At 44.1% G+C, this 27,840-nt stretch overlaps 1 protein-coding gene across 1 annotated transcript; it reads right to left on the bottom strand.

The window, feature by feature from the left end:
• Positions 1-27,840, bottom strand: LOC124905564 (neuroblastoma breakpoint family member 1-like; the record flags this gene model as incomplete). Its single annotated transcript, NM_001406552.1, is given in 26 exon segments — positions 1-1,759; positions 3,208-3,379; positions 3,994-4,040; positions 4,756-4,927; positions 5,530-5,579; positions 6,293-6,473; positions 7,097-7,148; positions 8,191-8,354; positions 12,261-12,312; positions 13,617-13,822; positions 14,287-14,359; positions 15,397-15,611; positions 16,447-16,549; positions 18,323-18,532; positions 19,882-20,093; positions 20,557-20,629; positions 21,681-21,895; positions 22,727-22,827; positions 24,640-24,647; positions 24,650-24,662; positions 24,665-24,668; positions 24,671-24,878; positions 24,981-25,135; positions 26,263-26,575; positions 27,415-27,484; positions 27,754-27,840. Coding segments are annotated over 22 exon segments (2,739 nt in total), but the record flags the coding sequence as incomplete, so codon positions are not given.

Consider the following 27,840-nt stretch of genomic DNA (forward strand, 5'->3'; position numbering starts at 1 on the left):
TGATAGGCAAAAGCTTTTAATTGTATAGATTAAAATAACTTTGGACAAAAATTAAAACTCAGGCAGAGAATGTTTTTTTTTTCAACAACACACACTAGCAAAAACAAAGGCACAGTAAACATTGAGGCAGAAAGTTTCCAGCGTAGAGATATGAATATAATAATAGACACAGGCAGGGATGATTAATAAATGATAAAATGTTTACAGGATGATCATTGGAATACAGGACATTTCTAATTTTGAAAACCACCCTCCCAAATACTTCATTATAAGTAAGGTGTCTCTAAAAGGGACAGATCTCCTAGACCCCTCCTTAACCAAGTAACCAGTCCTGATATCATGATAATGCTGATGGACAAACTAGACCTTCTCTGCCCGCAGATGGGCTAAGGTTGGAAACTCACAGCATTGTCTCTGCAGTGTTCCCGGCAAAACGTTTAGGCTGAATTTAATCATGAAGACATTTTCAGACAACTTCAGAATGTAGATCATTGAGCCAGAGAGCTGACCTGTCCTCTATAAACAAGTCCATGTCACCACCATCAATGACAACAACAAAAAGATGAGGAAATATTTGGGGTTCAAAATAACTAAAGAAATGCAGCTATATTATCTTTTTACTTTTTTTGAACCCAAAATATCTCTTCTCCTTTTTGTTGTGTGATTTGTGGTGATATGGACTATGTGAAGGAGACAGGTCAGTTGTCCTGCTCAGTGTTCTACATTCTGCAGTTGTCTGGTAATTACCTCCTATGAAACTCAGGCTAAGCGTTTTCTGCAAGAACATGGCGTTGTTCATATTCTGCACCGGCAGAGTCCTGGGTGACATGCTGTCTCCTGCCAGCGGCTCCTGACTCCTGTTCTCTACAGGATGGAATCGAGAGGAGCAGGGCTAAGGCCTCCCAATGCTGTTTGTCCATCTAGCTGTGGTCTTCCTAAGTACTGACACCAATTGGAGGCTGAAGGACTGTGGCTTCTCTAACCAAAGGAGCCTAGCGGGTTAACAATTGTCAAGAGCAGTTGGTGGTTCTGAAATACAATCCTCAGCCAAGGATCCCTCCTGTGTTAAAGATGGATCAGCTAAAACAATTCAACACTGAAGATACAAAGAATGAGGTTAGGTTCATTGAAACCAGGGTAACACCTTTGGATGAGCTAAACACAAAGATGACACTGACCTTGAGCAGGTATAGAAGCTCAGAGACATGACTGCAAAATGAAATCCCTGAGGAACTTTGTAGCTACCCAGAGATAAGTGGTTCAAATTAAAATGTCTGACTGATCACTCCCGGCATGTGCTGCACAGTTATGTGAACGTGTCACACCTAACTTGGGTCCATTGTCTTCAGACTGAGCACAGGTTGCCACTGGCATGGTCTGAGAATAGGAATAGAGCCATGCCCACTGACCCATCCTATGTCTGGGCTTCCAAATGGAACTATAGTTTCATTCAAATCTTCACGTGCCTATAGGTCCTGCCTGCAGGAATGACATCTCTCGGCTTAGTAAGGGCTGCTTACTGTGGGAATATGACTCCCATCTGGAAGACCAGGTGGAGACTTGTTCCCATCAAAGTAAGAAACCTATTGTCCACGTCAAGGGCGAAGCTGATGTGCTGTTCCTCAAATGAGTAAAACACACTTCTGTAGTGCTGGAATGAGTCAGGTAGTTCAAAGTACATTGACGGAGTCGAATAACATCTATCCAGTGAGTCCTGCAAGACTTCAGGCTCTTCCACTTCCATCAGCATGCCGCTGAGCCTGGAAAAGCAGACAAAACTAAAGAAGCAGCCAGGGAAAATCAGACACCACAGAGCCCCACTAGATTTCAGAAGTAACGTAAGGAAGTGGTAAGAAAAGAAAAGGATAGATCCATTAGATCCATTAATGAGGTAAAAAAAAAAAATTATTGCCTTTATGTTGGGATAGAAAAGGGCCAGGTAGAAAACAATGAAAGAGAAAGACAGAGAGACAGAGACAGAGACAGAGACAGAGAGAAAGTGAGCTAGTGAATTGGCCAGGTGACATACTGGTAAGGGAGTAAAAGGACACTCTGAGTTAGTGCCCTCATGACACACAGCACACTGCGATCATGAAAAGAGTGAGCTCAATAGTTTTCCATAAAATATGCTCAAAATTCGATGCAGTGGCCATGAGAGTACAGCTTTTGAAGTATGGTCATCCTATGGTACGTTAGTAAATGATAAGGGGAGGAAGAAATGGAAACCTAAACATCTACTGCAATGAAAACCAACAGCAATGACAGTAGGAGTAATTCAGCCTTCGTTGAAAACATGAAATCAAACACACTCTGGTTTCCCTCAATCTGTTGCCTCCAGGTGTTAACACAGAATTAAGCATCCACAATTGCTGAAAGTTACCTGGGGCATGGTGGGTTTTGATCTTCTTCCCCTTCTTTTCTTCCCCTTCTCCTTCTTTTCTTCGTTGATCTTCTTCCCCTTCTTTTCTTCCCCTTCCCCTTCTTTTCAATTTCTGCAATAAATTCAGACATGGACAGACACATTAAGCTGATTCCCCTACACACATAACAATCCACTGTCTAACCCTCACACAGGGACCTCAGGCTCCTCAGCATAAGAATAGGAGACTGTGAGAGATATATTTCAGGAGGCCTGAAGGCTGGTCATGATAGAAATTCCTCGGTTTTTCTCCCAGAAACTGTGGGTAAAATGTCCCTATTCTAGTAGATCGTTATCCCAATATCATTTGTCCCGAGTTTGTGCAAACAGTTATGCCATATTTTTCCAATCAATTTAAAGCAAATACCCTCAAATGATTTCTAGGAGAAAAACTGCAATATTTAGCCCTGTCTCATCAAATACTCAGATTGTTCATGGTTGTGAGGACTTTAGACACTGAAATTAGAGTGAAAAAGGAAATCTACAAACCCTTGAGTCAAAATCATAGTTCTCTGAATTTGTCACATCTGCCCAGGTCCAATGTCATGAGAGTAGAATCAGAGTGCCACAGGCATGGCCTGAGACTAGGAAGAGAGCCATGCTCACTGACCCATCCCATGTCTGGGCTTCCAGTTAGAACTAGAGTTTCATTCAACCTACATGTGCCTACAGGTCCTCACTGCAGCAATGACATCTCTCAGCTCAGTAATGGCCACTTGGAGCAGGAATATGATCTTTATATGGAAGACTCAGTGGATCCTTATCACCTTCATAGAAAGGTACTCACCTCCCACGTCAAGAGAAAAGCCAACATGTTTTTCCTCCAATGCATAAAAGGAACTTCCATAGGGCAGGCAGGAGTCAGGCTGTTCAAGACAACTGGAAGGAGTTGAATAACATCTATCCAGTGAGTCCTGCAAGACTTCAGGCTCTACTGCCTCCAGCAGCTCCCTGCTGAGCCTGGAAAAGGAGGAAAAAGTAAAGAATAAGCCAGGGGAAATCAGACACAACAGAGCCCCAACTAGGTTTCATGGGTAGCATAAGGAAGTGGTTGAAAAAGTAAAAGGAGAGATCCATTAATGAGGTAACAAATTATTGCTTTCATGTTGGGACAGAACAGGGCCAAATGGAAAAGAATGAAAGAGAAAGACACACACACACACACACACACACACACACACAGAGAATGAGCTCAGTGAATTGTCCAGGTGACACACTGATGAGGGAGTAACAGGACACTCTGAGTTAGTGCCCTCAGGACACACAGCATACAGTGATCAGGAAAGGACTGTGCTCAATAATTTTCCATAAAATGTGCTCAAGTTTCCATGCAGTCGCCATGAGAATACAGTTTTTGAAGTCTGGTCCACCTACAGTAGGTTAGTAAATGATAAGGGGAGGAAGAAATGGAAACCTAAATATCTACTGCAATGAAAACCAACAGCAATGTTAGTAGGAATAATTCAGGCTCGGTTGAAAAGATGTAATCGATAATGTCAGCCCGCCCTGTTTTCCCTGAACCAGGAGTCTCCAGATGTCAACACAGAAGTAGCTGTTCACAATTGCTCAGTTACCTGGGGCATGGTGGGCCTTGGTCTTCTTCCTCTTCCTGGTCCTTTTTAATTCCTGCAATACATTCAGACAGGGACAGACAAAATAAGCCAATTCACCTACACCCGTAACAGTCCACTGTCTAATCCCCACACAGGGATCTCAGGCTCCTCAGCAAGAGAACAGGACAATGTGAGAGATATACTTCAGGAGGCCTGAAAGCTGGTCATGATATTCTTTGGTTTGCATCTCAGAACCAAGGGTGAAATATCCCTATTCTGGTAGATCGTTATCCCAAAATCATTTATCCCAAGTTTGTGCAAACAGTTATGCCTGATTGTTCCCATCAGTTCAAAGACAATGCCCCAGATGATTTCTAGGAGGAAAACTGCAGTATTCAGCCCTGTCTCATCAAATGCCCAGCTCGTTCATGGATGCAAGAATTTTAGACACTGAAATTAGAATGAGGGAGGAAATCTACAAACCCTTGAGTCCAAATCATAGTTCTGTGAATTTTTTACATCTGCCTGGGTCCAATGTGCTGAGAGCGGGCTCAGGTTGCCACAGGCATGGCTGGAGACTAGGAATAGAGCCTTGCTCACTGACCCATTTCATGTCTAGGCTTCCAGCGGAGACTACAGTTTCATTACAACCTATATGCGCCCATAGGTCCTGCCTGCGGCAATGACATCTCTCGGGTCAGTAAGGGCCACTGGGAACAGGAATATCACCCCTATCTGGAAGACCAGGTGGAGGCTTATCACCTTCATAGTAAGGTACTCACTGTCCACGTCAAGAGCCAAGCCAAGGTACTGTTCCTCCAATGAGTAAACAGCACTTCTGTAGGGCTGGCCTAAGTCAGGCAGTTCAAGATAACCTGAAGGAGTCGAATAACATCTATCCAGGGAGTCCTGCAAGACTTCAGGCTCTTTCTCATCCAGCAGCTCCCTGCTGAGCCTGGAAAAGTAGGAAAAAGTAAAGAATAAGCCAGGGGGAATCAGAAACCACACAGCCCCAGCTACATTTCATGGCTAACATAAGGAACTGTTTAAACAGAAAAAGGACAGATCCATTAATGAGGTAATGAATTATTGCCTTTATGTTGGGATAGACCAGGGCCAGGTAGAAAAGAATGAAAGAGAAAGACAGGGAGAGGGAGAGGGAGAGAGAGACAGAGGAGAAAGTGAGCTCAGCGAATTGGCCGGGTGACACACTGATGAAGGGGTCAAAGGACACTCTGAGTTAGTGCCCTCGGGACACACAGAGAACAGTGATCATGAAAAGAGTGGGCTCAATAATTTTCCATAAACTTGCTTAAGATTCCATGCAGTTGCCATACAGCCTTTGAGGTATGGTCAACCTACAGTAAGTTAGTAAATGATAAGGGGAGGAAGAAATGGAAACCTAAACATCTACTGCAAGGAAAACCAACAGCAATGTCAGTAGGAGTAATTCAACCTTCGTTGAAAACATGAAATTGAACATACTCTTGTTTTCCCTGGACCTGGCATCTCCAGGTGTCAACACAGAATTAAGCATCCATAATTGCTCAAAGTTACCTGGGGCATGATGGGTCTTGGTCTTCTTCCACTTCTTGGTACTTTTCAATTTCTGCAATAAGTTCAGACATGGACAGACATATTAAGCTGGTTCTCCTACACACATAACAATCCACTGTCTAATCCTCACGCAGGGACTTCAGGCTCCTCAGCATGAGAATAGGACACTGTGAGAGATCTTCTTCAGGAGGCCTGAAGGCTGATCATGATAGAGATTCCTGGGTTTTTGTCCCAGAAACTGTGGGTAAAATTCCCTATTCTGGTAGATCGTTATCCCAAGATCATTTGTCCCAAGTTTGTGCAAATGGTTATGCCATATTTTTCCAATCGATTTAAAGCAAATGCCCCCAAATGGTTGCTGGGAGAAAAACTGCAATATTCAGCCCTGTCTCATCAAATACTCAGATTCTTCATGGTAGCGAGGATTTTAGACGCTGAAATTAGAGTGAAGGATGAAATCTACAAGATCTACAAAATTGAGACAAAATCAGAGTTGTGTGAATTTGTCACATCTGCCCAGATCCAACATCTTGAGAGTAGGATTAGGGTGCCACAGGCATGGCCTGAGACTAGGAAGAGAGCCCTGCTCACTGACCCATCCCTTGCCTGGGCTTCCAAGTGGAACTAGAGTTTCATTCAACCTACATGTGCCTATAGGTCCTCCCTGTGGCAATGACATCTCTCAGCTCAGTAAGGGCCATTTGCAGTAGGAATATGACCCTAACCAGAAGACTCAGTGGATCCTTATCACCTTCATAGAAAGGTACTCACCATCCATGTCAAGAGCCCAGCCAACACGCTGTTGCTCCAATATGTAAAAGGCACTTCTGTAGGGCTGGCATGAGTCAGTCAGTTCAAGATAACCTGAAGGAGTTGAATAACATCTATCCAGTGAGTCCTGCAAGACTTCAGGCCCTTTCTCATCCAGCAGCTCCCTGCTGAGCCTGGAACAGTGGGAAAAAGTAAAGAATAAGCCAGGGGGAATCAGAAACCACACAGCCCCAGCTAGATTTCATGGCTAACATAAGGAAGAGTTTGAAAAGAAAAAGGACAGATCCATTAATGAGGTAACAAATTATTGCCTTTATGTTGGGATTGACTAGGGCCAGGTAGAAAAGGATGAAAGAGAAAGACACACACACACACACACACACACACACACACACACACACACAGAGTGAGCTCAGTGAATTGGCCAGGTGACACACTGATGAGGGAGTCAACGGTCATTCTCTATTTGAGCTCTCAGGACACACAGTGAACAGTGATCATGAGAAGCATGGCCTCAATAATTTTGCATAAAATGTGCTCAAGTTTCCCTGCAGCCACCATGAGAATACAGCTTTTGAGGTATGGTCAACCTTCACTAGGTTAGTAAATGATAAGGGTAGGAAGAAATGGAAACCTAAACATTTACTCTAATGAGAACCAAAAAGCAATGTAGTAGGCATAATTTAGACTTGTCTGACAAGACAAAATCATTATTTTCAGCATGTACTGTTTTCCCTGGACTTGGCATCTCCAGGTGTCAACATCAAATTAACTGTCCACAATTTCTCAGACTCACCTGGGACCTGTTGCCTCTTGGTCCTCCTTTTTCACTTGATCCCACCGATGTCCTGCAAATAAATTCAGATGGGGCCTCTTACATTAAGCAGTTCTTCCTTGCACACAGAAACATTCCTCTGTCCAATCCTAACACAGGTACATCAGTCTGGTCAGTGTGAGAACAGGAGACTTTGAGAGAAATATTCCAGTAGGCCTGAGGTCAAGTCTTGAGAAAACTGGCTTGGGTTCTTTCATGAGCCTTGGGCAAAATTACCCTGTTTTGGAATGTTATCTTCCCTATGTGCTCTGTCCTAGGTTTGTGTACACAAATGAGCAACTTTTTCCCCAATAAATTGTAGGCAAATAGTTCTAACACCTCATAGGAGAGATACTTCAATATTAAGCTTTCTCTCATCAAATACCCAGAATTTGATAGTTTATGAGATTGTGGACACAGAGATTTGATGAAGGGGTGCAATGTACCAGCTCTTGAGTCAAAATGAAACTTGGTTCTACACAGAAGCATCAGCTATTATGGCTTTTGTGGGTGAAAAGTCAGCCATTTATCTAGAAAATATACCAGGAACATGACGGACAGATGAGCTAAAGCAAGCGAACTTAGAAGACACAGAAAATGGGAATAAATTCAGTGAAACCTGGGCCACATCTTTCACTGAGAGGTAGACAAGGGTGACACTTGCCTTGGGCAGGTAAAGAACCACACAGACATGCTTTGGGAACAAAACTCATAAGGAATTTTGTAGCTGGCAAGAGACATTTAATTCAGATGAGCTGATCTGACAGACAACTCCTGGTCATGTGCTGCATAGTTTGGTGTGAGCTTGCCACACCTGCCTTGAGTTCAATGTCGTGACAGTCAGTCCAGGTTGGCACGGGCATGGCCTGAGACTAGGAAGAGAGCAAAGCTCACTCACCCACCCCATGCCTGTGCTTCAGACTCGACTCCAGAGTGATTGAAATCTACATTGATATATAGGTTCAGCCCACAGTGATGGCAAATCTCAGCCCAACAAGGGGCACAAGGCCCAAAGATTATGGGGTCTACCTGGGCCATGAACTGGAGCTTTATCACCTTCACAATGGAGTACTCACCGCCTATGTCAACAGCCATGCAGACTTGCTGTTCCTCTAATGAGTGAAATGTGCCGCTGTAAGACTGGTACGAGGCCAACATTTCAGGAGGAATTGAGAGAGTCGAATAACCTTCATCCCAGGACTCCTGGGGGACTTCCTCCTCTTCAGACTCCTGCAGATTCCTGATGAGCCAGGCAGGACAGGGATGATAGAAGATTTAACCAACAGACATTAGACAACAAAACCTCCCAGATGATCTGATGGGAGACAGAATGGAGTGGTCACAGAAACCAAAGGCATTTTTCCTTCAAGAGAAATAAAACTAGCCTTCTAAATACAGGGTGGAGGGTGACTGCTCTGGGGACAGAGCAAAAATGGGCAGCATGTGCTCAGTACATTTGCCACAGATGAGCCAACTCAGGGCACCCAGACTCTCCCTGTAAACTACCATCATGACTTGCAGCACAGAGAACTGACACAGGGCTTCAACTACTTTGCATAAATTGGGTTGAATTTTACATGCAGCATTCAAGTGAAGAGAGTTCTTGACGCAGTGCAGACACAGATCTTGTGTATTAAGGGCCCCATTTTCCCAATATTTTGATATAATATATTTACCTTTTCAATTTCTTTTCTTGCAAAAATACTAGCCAACATACTACCAACGAATAGGAAGAAAGCATATATACATCTCTCCCTGGATTTAAACACATGGGAGAGAATAGGCAACACCAAGAAATCCCTGTTTGAGGGTCTGGAGTGGACTTCCAGCAAACTCCAACAGACCTGAAGCTGAGGGACCTGATTGTTAGAAGGAAAACTAACACACAGAAAGGAATAGCATCAACATCAACAAAAAAGACATCCACCCCAAAACCCCATCTGTAGGTCGCCATCATCAAAGACCAAGGGTAGATAAAACCACAAAGGTGGGGAGAAACCAGAGCACAAAAGCTGAAAATTCCAAAAACCTGACATCCCTTCTCCTCCAAAGGATCACAGCTCCTCGCCAGCAATGGAACAAAGCAGGATGGAGAATGACTTTGATGAGCTGACAGAAGTAGGCTTCAGAAAGTCGGTAATAACAAACTTCTCTGAGCTAAAGGAGGATGTGCGAACTCATCGCAAGGAAGCTAAAAACCTTGAAAAAAGATTAGACGAATGGCCAACCAGAATGAACAGTGTAGAGAAGACCTTAAATGACCTGATGGAGCTGAAAACCATGGCACGAGAACTACGTGATGCATGCACAAGCTTCAGTAGCCAATTCGATCAAGTGCAAGAAACGGTATCAGTGATTCAAGATCAAATTAGTGAAATGAAGCGAGAAGAGAAGTTTAGAGAAAAAAGAGTAAAAAGAAATGAACAAGCCTCCAATAAATATGGGACTATGTGGAAAGACCAAATCTACGTTTGATTGGTGCACTGAAAGTGACGGGGAGAATGGAACCAAGCTGGGAAACATTCTTCAGGATATTATCCAGGAGGACTTCCCCAACCTTGTAAGGAAGGCCAACATTCAAATTCAGGAAACACAGAGAACACCATAAAGATACTCCTCGAGAAGAGCAACCCCAAAACACATAATTGTCAGATTCACCAAGGTTGAAATGAAGGAAAAAATGCTAAGTGCAGCCAGAGAGAAAGGTCGGATTACCCACAAAGGGAAGCCCATCAGACTAGCAGCAGATCTCTTGGCACAAACCCTACAAGCCAGAAGAGAGTGGGAGCAATATTCAACATTCTTTTTTTTTTTCCATATGTATAGTTTTCCTTTATTATTTTTTGTGTGTATGTATATATATGTATATATATTTTTTAATACTTTAAGTCTTAGGGTACATGTGCACAACGTGCAGGTTAGTTACATATGTATACATGTCCACATTGGTGTGCTTCACCCATTAACTCATCATTTAACATTAGGTATATCTCCTAATGCTACCCCTCCTCCCTCCCCACACCCTACAACAGGCCCCAGTGTGTGATGTTCCCCTTCCTGTGTCCATGTGTTCTCATTGTTCAATTCCCACCTGTGAGTAAGAACATGCGGTACTTGGCTTTTTGTCCTTGCGATAGTTTGCTGAGAATGATGGTTTCCAGCTTCATCCATGCCCCTACAAAGGACATGAACTCATCATTTTTTATAGCTGCATAGTATTCCATGGTGTACACGTGCCACATTTTCTTAATCCAGTCTATCATTGCTGGATATTTGGCTTGGTTCCAAGTCTTTGCTATTGTGAATAGTGCCGCAATAAACATATGTGTGCATGTGTCTTTACAGCAGCATGATTTATAATCCTTTGGGTATACACCCAGTAATGGGATGGCTGGGTCAAATGCTATTTCTAGTTCTAGATCCCTGAGGAATTGCCACACTGCCTTCCACAATCGTTGAACTAGTTTACACTCCCACCAACAGTGTAAAAGTGTTCCTATTTCTCCACATCCTCTCCAGCATCTTCAACATTCTTAAAGAAAAGAATTTTCAATCCAGAATTTCATATCCAGCCAAACAAAGCTTCATAAGTGAAGGAGAAATAAATCCTTTACAGAGAAGCAAATGCTGAGAGATTTTGTCACCACCAGGCCTGCCTTACAAGAGCTCCTAAAGGAAACACTAAACATGGAAAGGAACAACCGGTACCAGCCACTGCAAAAACATGCCAAACTGTAAAGACCATTGACGCTAGGAAGAAACTGCATCAACTAACGGGCGAAATAACCAGCTAACATCATAACGACAGGCTCAAATTCACACATAACAATATTAACCTTAAATGTAAATGGGCTAAATGCCCCAGTTAAAAAACACAGAATGGCAAATTGGACAAAGAGTCAAGACCCATCAGTGTGCTGTACTCAGGAAACCCATCTCACATGCAGAGACACACATAGGCTCAAAATAAAGGGATGGAGGAAGATCTACCAAGCAAATGGAAAGCAAAAAAATGCAGGGGTTGCAATCCTAGTCTCTGATAAAACAGACTTTAAACCAACAAAGATCAAAGGAGACAAAGAAGGCCACTACATAATGGTAAAGGGATCAATTCAACAAGAAGAGTTAACTATCCTAAATATATATGCACCCTATACGGGAGCACCCAGATTCATAAAGCAAGTCCTGAGAGACCTACAAAGAGATTTAGACTCCACACAATCATAATGGGAGACTTTAACACCCCACTGTCAATATTAGACAGATCAATGAGACAGAAGCTTTACAAGGATATCCAGGACTTGAACTCAGCTCTCCACCAAGCAGACCTAAAAGACATCTACAGAACTCTCCACCCCAAATCAACAGAATATACATTCTTCTCAGCACCACATCACACTTATTCCAAAATTGACCACATAGTTGGAGGTAAAGCACTCATCAGCAAATGTAAAAGAATGGAAACCACAACAAACTGTCAGACCACAGTGCAATCAAATTAGAACTCAGGATTAAGAAACTCACTCAAAACCGCACAACTACATGGAAACTGAACAACCTGCTCCTGAATGACTACTGGGAAAATAACAAAATGAAGGCAGAAATAAAGATGTTCTTTGAAACCAATGAGAACAAAGACACAACATACCAGAATCTCTGGGACACATTTAAAGCAATGTGTAGAGGGAAAATTATAGCACTAAATGCCCACAAGAGAAAGCAGAAAAGATCTAAAATTGACACCCTAACATCACAATTAAAATAACTAGAGAAGCAAAGCAAACAAATTCAAAAGCTAGCAGAAGACAAGAAGTAACTAAGATCAGAGCAGAACTAAAGGAGATAGAGACACAAAAAACCCTTCAAAAAATCAATGAATCCAGGGCTGGTTTTTTGAAAAGATCAACAAGAAAACCCTGTTTGGCTAGTTCACCTGGCTCATCTGATGGCAAGTTCCTATCTTGAGAGGACTATGAAATTAAAACCAATACAAGTGCCACAAATAACATACAACATTGTAAATCAGCACAATTTGTAGCTGGGTGAATGGAAGAAATAGTTCTATTCATCACTTCCTCATTTTCCCTAAATCTACAATCTCCAGATGTCACTACTGAATTAACAGCCAACAATTCCACAACATTACCTGGGAGACACTGGCCCTTTTTCTTCCTCTTCCTCATCATCACTTTCATTTTCTGTAAATAAATTCAGAGAAGCAGGTCACATTAAGCAATTCATACTTCACATATGACCAAATCACTGTCCAGTCATAGCACAAGGACATAACTATTCTCAGTGCAAGAATAAGGATTCTGACAGGAATATTCTAGGGTGCCCTAGATTAACTTTGGTGAGAATTAGATGACCCTGCTTTCCAGACCCACAGGCCAAAATCTCCCTCTACGTGTACACCATAATGCCATATTCCCTGCCTGAGTCAAAGTTAAACAAAATTTTTTCCCCAAAAAAATCTCCAAAAATTGGTCCATTTTCTAAGAGTGTTGCTGCAATACGGACTTATATCACCAGATAACATGGACATTAAATGTTTAGAGGCATCTATACATGAAACACGACTGATAGATAAATTTGAACAACTCTTCCTTTAAAAAGAATCTGTGATTTGGGAGGCCAAGACAGGTGAATCATTTGAGGTCATGAGTTCAGGACTACCCTGGCCAATATGGGGAAACCCTGTCTCTACTAAAAATACAAAAATTAGCCAGATGTGATGTTGTGCACCTGTGGTCCCAGCAACTCAGGAGGCTGAGGCAGGAGAATCACTTGAATCTGGGAGGCAGAGGTTGCACCAAGCCAAGATGGTGCAACTGCACTCTAGCCTGGGTGACAGAGCAAGACTCCATCGCAAAAAAAAAAAAAAAAAAAAAAAAAAAAAAAAAAAAAAAAAAATCCACGATGCTACAAAGAAACATTGGATCAGCCATTGCATTGACAGGGTGGAGAACCAGGGTCCAGCCTTGCTTTATGGAAATATATCAGCAAAGTAAAGAAGAAAAGTTTCCGTCCTGATTTCAGGGTGACTGTGCAGCTAAGCAAGCTGACTTAAAGGAGATCCAGATGAAAGCTGAGAGCAGTGAAGCCTGGGGAACAATATTTCCAAATACAAAGGCAAGGCTGCCAGCTTCCTGAAACAGGCATAGAAACTCCATGGACATTGTTCAGGGACAGATGACTTAATCACAGATGACAAGAGATACTGAATCGAAGCTAGGAGGCCTGACAGATACTGCCTGTGCACCTCCTGCACTCAGGTGACTATGAGATTGTCACACTTGCCTGGGGTCGAGTAACTTGATACTGGGGACTGGCAGACAAAGGCATGACATTAGCTGAGAAGGACAAAAAAACTCCCTGATATCTGTTTAGAAACCCATCATAGTTTTTTATTCAAATGAATTTGTGTTTATAGAGCCTGTCTTCAGAGTTTATCTTCCTCAGCCTAGAGAGAGGTATGAGACACAAGGAAAACAGAGGCTACCTGGGATAATGTGTACAGCATCCTCCCATTCAACATGAGAGGATGAGCCAATGAGAGTTGAGTCGACTTTGTCTTCCTCAAATGTGATTTTGGTTTTCCTATGTGGCTGGTTGGAGTCATAAGGGCCATGGCTATTTGAACAAGTGATGGCACATTCCTCCAGTGAGTCCTCAGGGACTTCCTTTTCTTCAGCCTTCTGCATCTCCCTGATGAGCCAGGTGGGACAGAGATGACAGAAGATTAAACACAGAGGGATTGGACCCCATGGAGTCCTAGCTGGTTTTGACAGGCGGCATTAAGAGAGTGGTCCCAGAAAGCAAAATGGAGGTTCCCATTAAGAGGGAACATGCAATCCTGTTCTCTCTGCAACAGAGCATGGCTGCCATGGGAACCAGAGAGGAAGAGAGCAGCTGGTGTTCATTGCACTGGACAGATAGGAGCTGAGGAGGATGAAGACTCAGCTATCCCTGTACGGTGCAGACATGACACTCGGCACACATAGAGAAACATGACAGCTGCCGCACCCTGTGTCTAAGCTGGGTTATATTTCACATACTGTGGCCAAGCGAATGTGGGTTTTTGGCCCATCATAGATGCCAGAGAGGGTGTACCTCCTAGATATTCTTCATATGTTACCATCCATTAATTGTTCCTGAGTATTCAGTGTTACCTGGGGGCAGACGATTTCTGCACTTTCTCAGCCACCTCAACTTGAACATCTTCATCGTGATCATTGTCATTTTCTGTAAATACAGAAGTGTTCGTTCAGATATTTACCACTTCACAGTCTGCAAGCACAGTCAGCCCAATGTGCAACAGAGACATGAACATCTAGGCATGGGTCACCGTTCAACTGAAAACTCTCATGTTTTATCTTTAACAGAATGCCCTGGCATGGTTTCCTGATCCATCAGGCAATGCATTTCTGATCTGGAGGGCCACCATCAAGATGTGGCCAAATATTGAAAAGACCTTTTGCTTCCCATATCACTGGAGGCTTGTGCAGCCTCTCTCTGGACTTTGGCAGCTGTCTCCCCCATCCTGCCAGATCTGATTCCCAGGCACAGGCTTGGTGTCCTGTCACAGTTTGCATTTCAAACCTAATTCTTTCTCTTAGAAGCAGACAAACTTGTCCCACAGTCCTCTATGCATCAGAAGATTTCAAGCCTCCAAGTGGCTTCTGCTGTGTTATTCAGGGACATTCTATCCATGGGGAGTGCTCCAGTCTGAAGCACTTCCTACCACGAAACACCACCACATAAAGTGCCTTCTCCAACATCACACGGCGAGGGGCTTCATCTCATTTTGGAAAGCAGTTTTAAGTGTTCCCACATTTGAATGCTTCAGACCCTTGCAAGAGACAATTTGCCATGGAGAGAGAGAAACTCAGGAAGGACAAGTCATTCACTCACTGACAGTTACTAAGAACATTGCCGAAAAGACAGCCTGGGAACCTTCATTCTTAGTCCAGAGCTCTTTTCACTCTAACAAGCCTGCTCCTATCGCAGCCTCCTTCCTGTCCTTTAAAACTAGACAGATGCTGCCTCTTACTCCAAAGACCACCTTCCATCAAGGGAGGAGGGGAACTTGCAATACTGTGACCTCCAACCCCATGGGTTTCCCAACTCCGTTCTTACCCAGGAACTCCTGGTCATGTCATGGCCACATATGTGTAGCAGAAAATAACCCCACTGATACAACTGTCATTGTGAAAGTATGGAGGTCTGGAGCCTCTCATAAGACTGGGGTTTTGGGTCATCAGGGCCTATGGCCACCTTACCTGGGCTGAGCTTTTGGAAAAGTTGCTGTGCCAGTCTACACCCCTCAGCCAGCTGTTCTTGGAGGTCCTGCCCCTGGGACTTGTCTGGCTCATCCGGAGTGAGGAGGGCCTGGAGATGCTGATTCAATGAGCGGGAGGCATCTCTCCCTTCCCGTAACTTCTCCCTTAACTGGGTCAGCTCCCGTTCCTGAGAGTGAACCAGGACTTTATATTGCCTAAGGTGAGACGGTAGAGAAAATTTAAGAGTGGAAAGGGTTGAGTGATCCGCTCAAATATTGCAACAGAGATTTCTGAGACAATGTCCTCAAGGAGACCTCCAAGCAGAAGGTCAGCACATGTTGAAAGGAATGACTGTGGCCAACAGAAAGAATAGAAAATGGTTTACAGGCTTCCTCTGTATCAGAGAGGGCTCCTGCAAGATCCTCGATGATGTTCCATTCATCTTTCCCTTCTGTAAACAAAAGTAGGTGTCTTCCTAATTCCGTTTCAAAAAGACATCCTTTCAGTTCCTCACTCTGGCCATGGACATTTCCATGTGAAAATACACATAGTGCATCTTGCGGCCACTAGATACAAAGCCATGTACAGAAATGAGGCCAGGTGCAGATGGGGCGAATTGAAAAGACGAAAGAAGAAAAGAATGACAGGGTCGAGAAGGCAACATTGATTGAGTGAAAGAATGAGAAGACGCAGTCAGTCAGAAGGTGATTCTCACTAAGGGTAAGTGGGGTGGTGATGGCACACCATTTTGAGTATACTGAATGCTGCTGTGTGGTTCACACTCCTTTGGTTAATTTTGTGTTATGTAAATTTCACATCAACAATTACTTGTTTGAAAAAGAGAAAACAAGGCTCTGAGAAACAACTGCAACCCATAAATTTTTATTATCCTTCTTCTCTGTTTGATAAATATTTGTGTGTAGCGAGCCTGCCATGGCAATTCCTGCCCTTCCCCTGGCCCAGCTTAGTTCTTAAGTCTCCCCACTGAGCTGCTGTACTTCAGAGATTTACACACCTGTCCCCCTGCCTGCCCCCATGGGGTCCCCTCACCTGAGCTCCTCAGCTTGCTTGAGCTGCTCTGCAAGCTTCTCCTCCTTGAACTGTCGCTCATTCCTCAGCACAGATTTTATGAGGTCTTTGCACTCTTCATATTCTGAGAAAAGACAGACACGCCTGCCTCAGTGGAAGGCTGGACATGCTGCTGTGGTCATTGCCTACAGGGCAGGAGCCAGGTCCATCCCAAGGACAAAACTCTCCCCAGTACCAGGGTCTAGACAGGGATTTCCACATCTTTACTCTTCAGTCTCCTGAATTTCTGGCATCTGATCCTCCAAAATTTAGAGATGAAGAGAACCTCAAGGGCACATCAAGGAAGTTGACAAGATGATTCAACCACAAGGAAGTGGAGTCAGAATTCACAGCCCCTGAGGTCTGACTCTGAATGCAGGGCCACTTTCCCAAGACTTGCAGCCTCTCCTCTAAAACACTGCACTGGGGCATGAAGTAGTGATTTCTTGTACAGTCGGGAAGGCCCCTAGGACTATGGGACTGATGGCTTCCCTTTTACTGGGAATTTCAAGGACAAGTATGCGAAAGATTTTAAAAATCTTTGATTTTTAAATCATATCTTCTGTTATGATTTTAAGAATCATATCTGAAGCATAAAGTGTGACACATAACACCATAAGGCCATGAAGGAAATATGCCCAAATGCTAATAAAGTTTGTGTTAATTTAGAAACAGCAGAATGAAGAACTAATAGATAGTGTTTACTCTGTGCCAATAAATGTTCTAGGAGATTGACAAGAAATAGCTCATGTAATTCACTGCAGCAATTTACAGAGGTAGGTATTATTGTAGTACCCTCTGAACAGGTGAGGAAACAGGGACAGAAAAGACAAGCAACTTGGATGGAGCCCAGGAGACAGGCCCACGGTCTCTGCTCTGTACACTGCACTGCTATCTCCACACATTCTCGGGTGCGATCTTTCTTCCTCTTTAGGAACAAGACTCTGTGCCCCAGGAAGCAGGACTTCATTCTCACCAAGCTACATTCTGCTTCTTATTCTTATTTTTATTTATCATTATTAGTATTATTTTTTTAACAGTCTTGCCCTGTCACCCAGGCTGGAGTGCAATGGCAAAATCTTGGCTCACTGCAACCTCAGCCTCCTGGGTTCAAAGGATTCTCCTGCCTCAGCCTCCTGAACAGGGGTGATTACAGTCACCTGCCACCACGCCCATCTACTTTTTGTATTTTTAGTGGAGATGGGGTTTCTCCATGTTTCCCAGGCTGGTCTCAAACTCCTGACCTCGTGATCTGCCCGCCTCAGCCTCCCAAAGGGCTGGGATTACAGGAGTGAGCCACCATGCACGGCCCCTACTCCCTGCTCTTGATGCTGTCACTTATAGATAGCACAGGTTCTATTAGGAGCAGACTCCTCTTGAAGCCCCTCAGAGCTGGTACTGGCTACTATCACCAAGTTTCCCTCAGAGTCACTAGAACAGAGCTTTGCCTGTTGGGCCTCAACAGAAACTTGAACTGAATAAAAGTTCACTAGTCTCAGACATTTAGAACAACAGACTAGATGTTATTTGTCTGCAGGATCTTACATGGTACAGAGAGGATTCTTGAAAACATGATTGAGCCTCTTGGAGAAAACAGGTCATTCTGTGCCTGTGTCAGAAATCAATAAATGGCAGTTTAACTCTAGTCCCACCCCCACCTGATTGCAAACATGGAAAGTTGCTAAATATTTTGGGACCTCTGTCTTCCAACTTTAACAAAATGTTAAAATACCCATTTCTGTTTTCCTAGAAGTATGGGGAGGATGACATTATTTTAGATGGAGAGAGCACTTAGTTTCTCAGAGAGAAGATAGGACTTCGTTCATCACTTTCGTGACGGTGAGCCTATAGATCTTACTGTATTTGTTCTGCTGGTTGGCCAGGAAGCAGGCCAGTTGAGTTACAAAACATTTCTCTTTGAGGTTTCTGAACTGCTGTTTCTTCTCTGCCAGCTGGGGGCGCAATTTCTCATTCATTTCTAGAATGTTCATCTCTGCCTTCTCGCTGGACAAAGGGCCGGCTGATACCACCATGCTGACGTTTGTGGCAGAAGAGGTGGGGCCAGGGACTGGGGAGAAGAAAGGCAAACACATGATGGGTTAAAAACTGGTGAAATCAAATAGGCTTAATCAGGACTGAGGGATGTCACTGGCAGCCTTGTCTACTTATTTGAAGATGATGTTTCCCTGGTTTCACTCTTGTCATCTCCAGTCTTGATCTCCTTTAAGTCAACTTGTCTTAGCTATGCAGTCACCTTGAAACCAAGACATAAACACTTCTACACTTTTCTTGCTTATAAGTTTCTATAAAGCAAGGCTTGGCCCTGAGATTTTTACCCCATGAGTGGCCAATGTTTCTGTGTAGCACAAAAGGTTTCATTTTGCTTTTTTAATTTTTTTCTTTTTTGGTTTTTTGTTTTTTGTTTGAGACGGAGTCTCACTCTGTCACGCAGGCTGCAGTGCAGAGGCACAATCTCAGCTCACTGCCACCTCTGCCTCCCGGGTTCAAGCGATTCTCATCCCTCAGCCTGCCAAACATCTGGGATTACAAGCGCCAAGTAACATGCCAGCTAATTTTTGTATTTTTAGTAGAGATGGGGTTTCGCCATCTTGGACAGGCTGGTTTCGAACTCCTGACCTCAGGTGATCCGCCCACCTCGGCCTCCCAAAGTGCTGGGATTAAGATGTGAGCCAGCACCCCTGGTCAGAGACATTTTTTTTTTTTTTTTTTGAGATGGAGTCTCGCTCTGTCTCCCAGGCTGGAGTGCAGTGGCACAATCTAGGCTCACTGTAAGCTCCGGTTCCTGGGTTCATGCCATTCTCCTGCCACAGCCTCCCGAGTAGCTGGGACTACAGGCGCCCAACACCGCGCCCAGCTAATTTTTTTTTTTTTTTGTATTTTTAGTAACGACGGGGTTTCACCGTGTTAGCCAGGATGGTCTCGATCTCCTGACCTCGTGATCCACCCGCCCCGGCCTCCCAAAGTGCTGGGATTACATGTGTGAGCCACCGCGCCCGGCCGAGACTTCTTATTAATAGCTGAGACAAGCCAATGAAAAGGAGAGAGAGTCTAGCCTGAGAGGAGCGAACCAGGGTGGGAGGATCGTCTCAGCCGATCCTCCCACCTAAGTCTCCTGAGCAGTTGGGACTATAGGCACGCAGCACCATACCTGCCTAATTTTTTGTATTCTTTGTAAAGATGGGTTTCACCATATTGTCCAGGCTGGTCTTCAACTCCTGAACTCAAGTCATCCTCCCACTTGGGCCTTCCAAAGTGCTGTGATTATACGTGTGAGTCACAGCACCTAGCTCCATCCTAGTTTCTGACTAAAACAATATGTGCGTATACAGCCTGTCCTCAGAATTGATCTTCCATAGCCTAGACAGAGGTATGAGACACAAGGAAAATAGAGGCTACCTGGGAGAATGTTTACAGCATCCTGACATTCATCATGAGAGGATTCTCTGTCTACAACCAGAGTTGAGTTGACTTTGTCTTCCTCAAATGTGATGTTGATGTTCTTGTGAGGCTGGTTGGAGTCACAAGGGCCGTGGCTATTTGAACAAGTGATGGCACATTCCTCCAGTGAGTCCTCAGGGACTTTGCTTTCTTCAGCCTTCTGCACCTCCCTGATGAGCCAGGTGGGACAGAGATGACAGAAGATTAAACACAGAGGGATTGGACCCCAGGGAGTCCTAGCTGGTTTTGACAGGCGGCATTAAGACAGTGGTCCCAGAAAGCAAAATGGAGGTTCCCTTTAAGGGGGAACAGGCAATCCTCTTCTCTCTGCAACAGAACATGGCTGCCATGGGAGCCAGAGAGGAAGAGAGCAGCTGGTGTTCAGTGCACTGGACAGATAGGAGCTGAGGAGGATGAAGACTCAGCTATCCCTGTATGGTACAGACATGACACTTGGCACACATAGAGAAACACGACAGCTGCCGCACCCTGTGTCTAAGCTGGGTTGAATTTCACATACTGTGGCCAAGCGAATGCGGGCTTTTGGCCCATCATAGATGCCAGAGAGGGTGAGCCTCCTAGACATTTTTATATGTTACCACCCATTACTTGCTCCCGAGTATTCAGTGTTACCTGGGGGCAGATGATTCCAGTACTTTCTCAGCCTCCTCAACTTGAACATCTTCATCCTCATCTTCGTCATTTTCTGTAAATACAAAATGTTCGTTCAGATATTTCCCACTTCCCATTCTGCAAGCACAGTCAGCCCAATGTGCACAGAGACATGAACATCTATGTGTGGTTCAGCATTGTACTGAAAACTGTCATGTTTTATCTTTCACAAAATGCTCTGGCATGGTTTCCTGGTCCATCGGGCAATGCATTTCCGATCTGGAGGGCCACCATCAAGATGTGGCCAAATATTGAAAAGACCTTTTGCTTCCCATATCACTGGAGGCTTGTGCAGCCTCTCTCTGGACTTTGGCAGCTGTCGCCCCCATCCTGCCACAGATCTGATTCCCAGGAACAGGTTTGGTGTCCTGCCACAGTTCGCATTTCAAACCTCATTCTTTCTCTTAGGAGAGGACAAACTTGTCCCACAGTCCTCTATGTGTCATGAGACTGCACAGGCCCTCCATGTGGCTTCTGCTGTGTTATTCAGGGACATTCTATCCATGGGGAGTGCTCCAGTCTGAAGCACTTCCTACCACCAAATGCCCCCACATCAAGTGCCTTCTCCAACACCAAACGGAGAGGGGCTGCATCTCATTTTGAAAAGCATTCGTAAGTGTTCCCATATTTGGATGCTTCAGACCCTTGCAAGAGACAATTTGTTTGCCTTTGCAGATGGAGAGAGAGAAACTCTGGAAAGAGAAATCACTCACTCACCGACAGTTACTAAGAACATTGCCAAAAAGACAGCCTGGGAACCTTCATTCTTAGCCCAGAGCTCTTTTCACTCCAACAAGCGCCCTCCCATCACAGCCTCCTTCCTGTCCTTTAAAACTAGACAGATGCTGCCTCTTGCTCCAAAGACCACCTTCCATCAAGGAAGGAGGGACACTTGCAATACTGTGACCTCCAAACCCATGGGTTTCCCATCTCTGTTCTTACCCAGGAAGTCCTGGTCATGTCATGGCCACATATGTGTAGCAGAAAATAACCCCACTGATACAACTGTCATTGTGAAAGTATGGAGGTCTGGAGCCTCTCATAAGACTGGGGTTTTGGGTCATCAGGGCCTATGGCCACCTTACCTGGGCTGAGCTTTTGGACAAGGTGCTGTGCCAGTCTACACCCCTCAGCCAGCTGTTCTTGGAGGTCCTGCCCCTGGGACTTGTCTGGCTCATCTGGAGTGAGGAGGGCCTGGAGATGCTGATTCAATGAGCGGGAGGCATCTCTCCCTTCCCGTAACTTCTCCCTTAACTGGGTCAGCTCCCGTTCCTGAGAGTGAACCAGGACTTTATATTGCCTAAGGTGAGATGGTAGAGAAAATTTAAGAGTGGAAAGGGTTGAGTGATCCGCTCAAATATTGCAACAGAGATTTCTGAGACAATGTCCTCAAGGAGACCTCCAAGCAGAAGGTCAGCACATGTTGAAAGGAATGACTGTGGCCAAGAGAAAGAATAGAAAATGGTTTACAGGCTTCCTCTGTATCAGAGAGGGCTCCTGCAAGATCCTTGATGATGTTCCATTCATCTTTCCCTTCTGTAAACAAAAGTAGGTGTCTTCCTAATTCCGTTTCAAAAAGACATCCTTTCAGTTCCTCACTCTGGCCATGGACATTTCCATGTGAAAATACACATAGTGCATCTTGCGGCCACTAGATACAAAGCCATGTACAGAAATGAGGCCAGGTGCAGATGGGGCGAATTGAAAAGACGAAAGAAGAAAAGAATGACAGGGTCGAGAAGGCAACATTGATTGAGTGAAAGAATGAGAAGACGCAGTCAGTCAGAAGGTGATTCTCACTAAGGGTAAGTGGGGTGGTGATGGCACACCATTTTGAGTATACTGAATGCTGCTGGGTGGTTCCCACTCCTTTGGTGAATTTTCTGTCATGCAAATTTCACATCAACAATTACTTGTTTGAAAAAGAGAAAACAAGGCTCTAAGAAACAACTGCAACACATAACTTATTATTATCCTTGTTCTCTGATAAATATTTGTGTGTCATGAGCCTGCCATGGCAATTTCTGCCCTTCCCCTGGCCCAGCTTCGTTGTTACTTCTCCCCGCCGAGCTGCTGTACTTCAGAGATCTACACACCTACCCGCCTGCCTCCCCCCACGGGGTCCCCTCACCTGAGCTCCTCAGCTTGCTTGAGCTGCTCTGCAAGCTTCTCCTCCTTGAACTGTCGCTCATTCCTCAGCATAAATTTTATGAGGTCTTTACACTCTTCATACTCTGAGAAAAGACAGACACGTCTGCCTCAGTGGAAGGCTGGACATGCTGCTGTGGTCACTGCCTACAGGGCAGGAGCCAGGTCCATCCCAAGGACAAAACTGTCCCCAGTACCAGGCTCTAGGCAGGGATTTCCACATCTTTACTCTTCAGTCTCCTGACTTTCTGGCATCTTATCCTCCAAAATTTAAAGACGAAGAAAGAGAAACTCAAGGCACATCAAGGAAGTTGACAAGATGATTCAACCTCAACGAAGTGGACTCAGAACTCACAGCCCCTGAGGTCTGACTCTGAATGCGGGGCCACTTTCCCAAGCCTGGCAGCCTCTCCTCTGAAACACTGCACTGGGGCATGAAGTAGTGATTTCTTGTACAGTCGGGAAGGCCCCTAGGACTATGGGACTGATGGTTTCCCTTTTACTGGGTATTTCAAGGACAAATATGTCAAGGACTTTAAAACATTTCATTTTTAAATCATATATTCAGATATGGTTTTAAGAATCATATCTGAAGCATAAAGTGTGAGACAGAAGACAATAAGGCCATGAAGGAAATATGCCCAAATACTTTATTAGTATGACAGGCAGCATCAAGATTTAGATTAGTTGTGTTAATTTAGAAACAGCATAAGATTAGTTTGTGTTAATTTAGAAACATCAGAATGAAGAACTAATAGATAGTGTTTACACTGTGCCAATTAATGTTCAAGGAGATTGACAGGAAATACCTCATGTAATTCATTGCAGCAATTTACAGAGGTAGGTATTATTGTAGTACCCTCTGAACAGATGAGGAAACTGAGGGACAGACAAGACAAGCAACTTGGATGGAGCCCAGGAGACAGGCTGAGGGTCCCTGCTTTGCACACTGCACTGCTGCTTCCACACATTCTCGGGTGTGATCTTTCTTCCTCTTTAGGAACAAGAGCCTGTGCACCAGGAATCAGGACTTCACTCTCACCAAGGTACTCTCTGCTTTTTATTTTTATTTTTGTTTATCTTTTTGTTTGTTTGTTTTTTGACGAGTCTTGCCCTGTCACCCATGCTGGAGTGCAACAGTGCAATCTTGGCTCACTGCAACATCTGCCTGCTGGGTTCAAAGGATTCTTCTGCCTCAGCCTCCCGATTAGTGGTGATTACAGTTGCCCGCCACGACGCCCATCTACTTTTTGTATTTTTAGTGGAGATGGGGTTTCTCCATGTTGCCCAGGCTAGTCTCAAACTCCTCAACTCGTGCTCTGCCCGCCTCAGCCTCCCAAAGTGCTGAGATTACAGGAGTGAGCCACGTTGCACGGCCCCTACTCCCTGCTCTTGATGGTGTCACTTATAGATAGCACAGGTTCTATTAGGAGCAGACTCCTCTTGAAGTCCCTCAGAGCAGGTACTGGCTACTATCACCAAGTTCCCCTCAGAGTCACTAGAACAGAGCTTTGCCTGTTGGGCCTCAACAGAAACTTGAACTGAATAAAAGTTCACTAGTCTCAGACATTTAGAACAACAGACTAGATGTTATTTGTCTGCAGGATCTTATATGGTACAGAGAGGATTCTTGAAAACATGATTGAGCCTCTTGGAGAAAACAGGTCGTTCTGTGTCTGTGTTAGAAATCAATAACTGTGAGTTTAACTCTAGTCCCACCCCCACCTGATTGCAAACATGGAAAGTTGCTAAATACTTTGGTACCTCTGTCTTCCAACTTTAACAAAATGTTAAAATACCCATTTCTGTTTTCCTAGAAGTACAGGAAGGATGAAATTATTTTTGATGGAGAGAGCATTTAGTGTCTCAGAGAGAAGACAGGACATCATTCATCACTTTCATGATGGTGAGCCTATAGATCTTACTGTATTTCTTCTGTCGGTTGGCCAGGAAGCCGGCCAGTTGAGTTACAAAACATTTCTCTTTGAGGTTTCTGAACTGCTGTTTGTTCTCTGCCAGCTGGGGGCGCAATTTCTCGTTGATTTCTAAAATGTTCGTCTCTGCCTTCTCGCTGGACCAAGGGCCGGCTGATACCACCATGCTGACGTTTGTGGCAGAAGAGGTGGAGCCAGGGACTGGGGAGAAGAAACCCAAACATATGATGGGTTAAAAACTGGTGAAATCAAATAGGTTTCATCAGGACTGAGGGATGTCAGTAACTGAAATTCTTAACTTACTGTTGTGAAAAATGTGATCACTCCCCACAGCACTTTAGGTTCCTTCACCACAAAAACAAGGTTCGAGGTGCCTGAACTCAGAGCTGAAAGCACTGCCAGTAGCTCAGACTCTGATAAGAGTGAGGTAGACTGTGGCCAGCGTGCCAGGTAACCGTCTGCAGTTGCAATAACAGAATTAGAAGGTGGGGGTGTCATGGAATCTTAGGAGCCCTGCATTCCAATTGCCCAGGCTTTGCTGAAACACAGGCACCCTAGTCTCACCTGAGGGTCACCACCAATGGGGATCATTCCTTCAGCATTCACTCTCAGTATTCGTGTACCCTTGTGATGATGCCACAGACCCGTGTCTTTCCCAATACATCTAAGCATATTCCTCACTGTTTATCTCTTGTCTGTACAACATCATCAAGGCAGAAACAGTTTCCCAACAGGTTGTATTTTCTTAATGGTAGTCATGAAGTCACCCCACCTGCTCTCAGTTAAAACAGAGCTTAAGGCTTTTCCACAGGTGTAAGATATCAAACTTTTAGCCTGCCCTGATTTCCTCTGGGTCTTCTGCAGTTTTGTCTGTATCCACTAGAAAGTGAATGAATAATTCATTTGTAAAAAATGTTGTCTTGCCTGTCTCAGTATTCTTCTTGCTGTTTCCCATTGTTATGTTGATTTCTTTTTTCTCACTGGGGCACCATCTTTGCTTTTCATTACACTCTAGACCAGTTTGACATCCCTATGTCCAGAGCTCTTCCTCTATGTGGGTTGATTTGGTTTTTGATGTCACTGAGCGCTACATTTTATACTTGTCACTTATGGATGTCATTCTAGTGTCACAAGAGCTCTTTTCAAGGTATCAAGTGATCAAAATCATTTATATAGAGATCTCCTGAAAACATGTGTGACCATCTATCTTGGGAAGTTTCATAAACCTGATGCTATTTTGTTGTTTCCATTTTGTTTTCCCATATACTGAAAAGAACAGGGCCATGAGCGGTTCTTATGCAATATGGTTTGATATATATTTTGTTGAGATGACCTAACACCATTGATTTTGGGTTGCATTCCACTAACAGAACATGGCAAGATCAAGGTTATGGTCACGGTTGGTTGGTGATCCTCAGTGTTGCAGTAGAAGGTGAGTTTGAGATGAGAGGAATGAGTAGGAAAGAGTGATCCCCTGAACCACCTCCTCGCTTTCTCAGCTTTCACCCCACCTAGGTTTTGTGAGCCTGGAACTTGGGAGACTGTTCTGTAGCCCAGGTCTCCTAAGATTGGCTGCTGGACTTGCCTGAGTTGAGGGTGCGGTGGGTTGACCCTGGGCTGCCCAGCATTCATGTGGTAGTGAAGGAAGGAGGACTGGATCAATCCCATTTCAAAGCATGTCTCTCTGCACTCCACACTGTCCTCCAATGACACTGTAAGGAAACCGCTTTAAGACGTATCAACGGCTTTAAGTAAATGTATTTTCTGGCATCTGGGAGACCTGACATTCTGTGTCATAATGAAAATCTGTCATGTTTCTTTATTTTAAAAATGATAAAACTGCAGGTTCACAGAGTTACATGGCTTACTTGAGGTCACACGGGGATGAGTTTTCAGCACTGCCAATAAAAGCAATCACATGAATTATTCAGTAATTATTCATAGGATCCATATAATTCAGTAAATATTCACATAATTATTTACTAGTTGTTCATTGACCAATTCGTACAAGGCATTTTGCTCAAAACTGTGCTTATATTTGGACATTGTATCTTCATCATAATCCTGTGGTAATGCTATTATCCGTAAGTAACAGGTAAGAAACCTGAAGAGGAGGGATAGCAAATCATGTATTTGGACATATTTCCTTTTTTTTTTTTTTGGTTTTTGTGATGCTGGAAGAATGACCAGAATGAGTCATAGGAAGAGTATACATTCCTGTAGTATTTTCCAGGACAGAGGTGTGACCTCCTAGAGTACTGGGACCAAAATTCCCAAGTGTCTGCAACCTTGCTTTAACAGTATGGGAGATCACCTCTATCACCTGGAATTCCCCTGGAACTCTGGAATATACAAGAGAAGTATGAGACTTGGGTCTTCCCTTGGCTGTGTTTAATTCACTCTTCTATGGAATACCAATGATTCTCACTAAGACTGGCCTTTTCATAAGCACAATGTGCATTTTATGGAGAAGATTTTACACTTTGCTCTATTTAGAAAGAATAAATATGAGCAGTGGTTTAGGTTTTATGCCCTGGACTTAATATGTTTCTGATTCCTGTTTTGAGATTAAATTCTCATGTAAATAGAAAAATACTTATTATTTCTCATAAGGCCAAGTTTGTTATTAGTTTGAGTTTTTGAAGATGAAGCACAAACTTTTGATTTTATCTTTGTCTGTCTCTGTCAGCGCCACTCGTTGTCTCTCAGTATGACCTGGACTTGCCCCTGCACTTACCCTTGTCCTGCTGAACCATCTCCATGCACTGTCCAATTCCATCAGTGATTCGGGCTCCTTCCAAGGCTCCCTGAAAAGGGCACAGAGATCAGGACATTAGGCACATTCCGGACACAAAGGCAACCCATACTGTAGAGTGGGCAGCTGTGTTTCCACTTCCCTAATATTCCAGTGATGTCCTCAAACTGAAAGGAACACTTTCCCTTTTTAGGGGTCTGTTCTTCATGTCTCAGTGCCTCTGATCTAGTCAACACAACTGTCCTGAATGTGAAAGAACTTGCTAAATTTCTAGTTTCTTGTTAGGTGGCTAAAATAGATTTATAAGACTTCCTTACTTACCCATGACTGCTGAAGTTTGAATTCTTAGCAGTACGATTCGTTTTCTTGTAAGGTGAGCAGCTTAGGAAAGATTGGCCATCTTCCTGT

Source organism: Homo sapiens (assembly GCF_000001405.40).
Source record: "Homo sapiens chromosome 1 unlocalized genomic scaffold, GRCh38.p14 Primary Assembly HSCHR1_CTG6_UNLOCALIZED".
Classification (NCBI taxonomy): Eukaryota; Metazoa; Chordata; class Mammalia; order Primates; family Hominidae; genus Homo; species Homo sapiens.